Below are 4126 nucleotides of genomic sequence, written 5' to 3'. Positions count from 1 at the left end.
GTTGGTAGCTGTGGAGTGTAGACTCATTAGACTCATTTCCTGCCACACAGCGGAAGGTGGAAGAACCTTTTCGGATCTCCCAGAAAGCGGATGGTGACCAGGCATGGAGGAACAGGGTAGGGGCCGCTCCTGCTGGCCTGCGAGTGCTGTGGCATCTACATCAGGACACCACTTCTGCCAGAGCCCCTGGGCCCCCAGTGTGGCCTGGGTGTGCTCAAGGGGCCCTGTAAGTCCTCGTCATCAACAGCAGCCAGCCCTCCTCTGTTCATTAGACTGCTGGGAGGCCTCTTTGGGGAAAGAATCCCTCAGGTGTAAAACTGCCAGGTTTTTAGGCACATAGGAGATGGCAGTATGGCCTTTGGGAGTTTAATTGTGGTGGGAAAAGACCAGCCAGTGAGAAGATTGTGTGGTAGGTGCTGGTAAATGCTGCAGAACTCGCGTGGAGAAAGCCTGGAGGTGGTGGGAGGTTGGGAGGGGCTCAGGAAGGCTGGGGGGGCTATAACTCGCAATGGCCGGGAACAATGAATACAGAGGCCCCCAGGGCTCATACGGCCAAGGCGGAGAGAAGCTGGTGTCCCAGATGGAGCAGCTGGGCCACTGATGCATCAGGAGGATCTGTGCGTAGGAGGGCCGCTGCAGGGTCTGAGCAGCGTAGGGTGTGATGTGGCCACTGTGCAGGGAATAGCCTGGAAGCCGGAGGCTGGTGAGGAGGCTGTTGCGTGGTCCGGGTGAGACGCAATGGTCAAGAGTGTTGAAAAACTTTATGCTGGACGTGGTGGCTCACACCTGTAATCCCAGCACTTTGGGAGGTCAAGGCGGTTGGATTGCTTTAGGTCAGGAGTTCGAGACCAGCCCAGCCAACGTGAAATCCCGTCTCTACTAAAAAGAAAAAATAAATAAAAAAAAAATTAGCCTAGTGGGCGTGGTGGTGCATGTGTGTAATCCCAGCTACTTGGGAGGCTGGGGCAGGAGAATCACTTGAATCCGGGAGGCGGAGGTTGCCATGAGCTGAGATTGTGCCACTGCACTCGTCTGGGCAACAGAGTGAGACTCCTCTGTCTCAAAAAAAGAAAAACTTTAGAGTTTATTTGAACAAAGAACAGTTCATGAATTGCACTCAGAACCGGGAGAGGTTCAGCGAGCTCCACTCAGCAGCACGGGCAGGCAGCACTTACAGACAGAACACGGAAGTGAGACACGGAAACAGCCTGATTGGCTACGGCTGGGCGTCTGCCACCTGTGGGTGTGGTCTGACCCACTGGCAGCTTATGACAGACTCAGCTACTTGTTACAAAATAGACTTATTAGGTTGAGTTTGTTTACATGCTTCGTTAGGTTGCAATTCACTAGGCAGAAATGCAAAGAATGGAGGCAGCTTTAGGCCAAATTTAATTTAACAAGAGGACCTGAGTGCCTGCGGTATCCCTGGAAGGAGTTGCTGGGTCTGAACATCAGGAAGGTGGGGCTGGGAGCCCAGGTGGACCCCAAGGGGTTGTCTTAGCTGCTGCAAGGATGATGGAACCCGCTCCCTTTTTTAAGCTAATGGTCTTTTGTTGCAGGAAGAAAAGATGGACTTGCAACTTGGAATGGATGTAAATCATAGTGTTTTCAGCACTGTTGGTAGTGCTGAAGTCCACAGCCACAGCCTGTTCTGCCAGCTCCAAGTCATGGTTCCAAAGGTTTTAAAAACAGTCCAAAGATGTTCCCTTGATAAAGGTTTCATTTTTAAAGTTTGTGTGAATGGTGGCAGCCTGACCCTGTTTCACTCCAGTGCAATGCAGATGACACCAAGCCAACACGCAGAGGCATGGCCGGAGTGTTGTCACTGTGAGTTGGGGCGCACACAAGCACAGGGGGCCGTCGTGTGGTGAGCTGGGCCCAGTGGCTCACCCTTCACCCTTTCTCCACACGTCTTCCTGAAGTAGACCAAGTGTGTGTTTTCAGTAAGCAGCTGTGACTGTACTAACACATTGAGTTAGAACCATTTGAATAGGTTTTGAATCTGCTTTTTCATTGTTCACTTTTAATAGTATTAAGCATTTATTTGGGAAACAAAGGATTGTAATTTGGGTAAGCTGAGTCACGGTGGCCCTGAGTAGTGTCCTAGAAAGCAAACACGAGAGTTTTGGTTTTTCTCTTTGAGACGGAGTCTCACTCTGTTGCCCAGGCTGGAGTGCAGTGGCGTGATCTCAGCTCACTGCAACCTCCATCTCCTGGGTTCAAGCGATTCTCCTGCCTCAGCCTCCTGAGTAGCTGGGACTACAGGTGTGCACCACCACCCCTGACTAATTTTTGTATTTTTAGTAGAGATGAGGTTTCACCATGTTGGCCAGGCTGGTCTCGAACTTCTGACCTCAGGTGATCCTCCCACCTCAGCCTCCCAAAGTGCTGGGAATATAGGTGTGAGCCACCTCGCCCGGCCTGGAGAGATTTGTTTAGGGGATTTCCACAAAGGGGTTTTGGAGGTAGTTCATTGGCTGGGCAGAAATCCTAAATGAAACCCATTCTGATGGGTTAGTTCTTAAGGGCACTCCCAGCTGGGAGATGTGAAGGCCGTCAGGGGCTGACTTCAGCTGTTGGTCCAAGTCTACGGGCGCGTCCTGTGGACTGGCCGTCAGCCGTGTGAATGCAGGCCTCCCGCAGCCGCCCAGTTCCACTTAGCCTCAGCATTAGTGACTTCATTTTCTTTCACATTTCCCCCTTTTGACCAAGTTCTTCCTCCAGAAAGTGTCACAGATCAGTTGGTGAATGTGATGATGTCCCTTGTTGCTGGGAGGGACTTGTCCCAGGGAGTCATGTCCCTCGTTGGGGACGTGACCTCAGTCAAGCTCAACTGTCATCTGCTTCACTTTTGGGTCAGTTTTCATTTCAGGTGATTGTCCGAATTCCAGCAGGGGTAGAGGTTTCTTTAAATGAGAAACCTCAATCCAAGGGTCAACACCTTTTAGTTTGGCAGCACAGGGATGGGTAAGGAGTACCTGATGTGGACTCTTCACTGAGGTTGAAGGAAATCTTTTTGTAAATGTCTTTTCCAATAGAGAAAATGATCAGGCTGAAGGTTGTGATGTCTGGTGCCTTTATCAACTGGGAACACACTGTGTAAAGATTGTCTGACCAGGGTATGACTTGCGTGGACAGCCTTCATTATTCCTTTACAATACTGGAGCATGTCTCCTTTCATCAGTGGACTATTAAAAGCAGAAGGGACTCTATGCATTGGCCCTCCAGTGATCATTTCAAAAGGTGACAACTTGCAGTTTCCAAAAGGTGCAGACCTTAGATTCAGAAGGACCAGAGGAAGTGCCTTTGGCCGGGGCAATTTTAGTGCTTCCTGAAATTCTGCCAGTTGATGCCATCTGTGCTTTCCACCAGTCTGCAAGATTGGGGATGGTAGGCACAATGACAGTGCTGTCATGTGGACCAGACTTCACAGATTTGTTTTATGACCTGGCCAGTGGAGCTCCTTGTCACTACCTGTGAAGATATGCCCTTGTCACTTAGGGAGAATCTGTTCTTGTAGAGTTTGCAGCATCTGAGGCAGCGGCACATCAGGAAGGGAATGCTTCTACCCAGGAGAAGAACATGCAAATCATCACGACATACTTACAGTCTTGAGAGGCAGTGGCTGGATGAAGTCCATTTGCCAAACCTCAGAGGGTCCACTTGGCAGGTCAGAATGACCTGGGACTCTCCGAATTGTCTTTGCTGGGTTGAATTTTGGACAAACAGCACAAGGCAGTTGTGCCTCTTCGGCCGCCCTTGAAATATTTCCCCACCAATACTGTTTTGTAAACGTGTAAGTTCATTAGTTGCCCAATGAGTCGTCTGACGTGTTCATAGATTCTGGTAACACTGGCTCATGGGGTGCTGGGGACAGAGTGTCTTTAATAACATCATTTACATCCTTTTTGGGAAAATTATCTTAGCTGTAAGGTTTTTGGTCTCAGTGAAACTCAAGGCAGCGGCTTTTGCTGTGGAATCAACCAAGTTTTTCTTTAGCCTCATCTGACTCCAATTTTGAATACCCAGAAATTTTGATTATGGCCAGAGGGAAGCCAAATTGAATTTAATAAACTATTGACAAAAGTGTCATTTTTAATTTGGTTCCCTCTGGAGGTTAAAAAGT

The sequence above is a fragment of the Homo sapiens genome, chromosome 21 (assembly GCF_000001405.40).
Source record: "Homo sapiens chromosome 21, GRCh38.p14 Primary Assembly".
Classification (NCBI taxonomy): domain Eukaryota; kingdom Metazoa; phylum Chordata; class Mammalia; order Primates; family Hominidae; genus Homo; species Homo sapiens.
The sequence above is the reverse complement of the archived record's forward strand: the minus strand, read 5'-3'. Positions refer to the sequence as shown.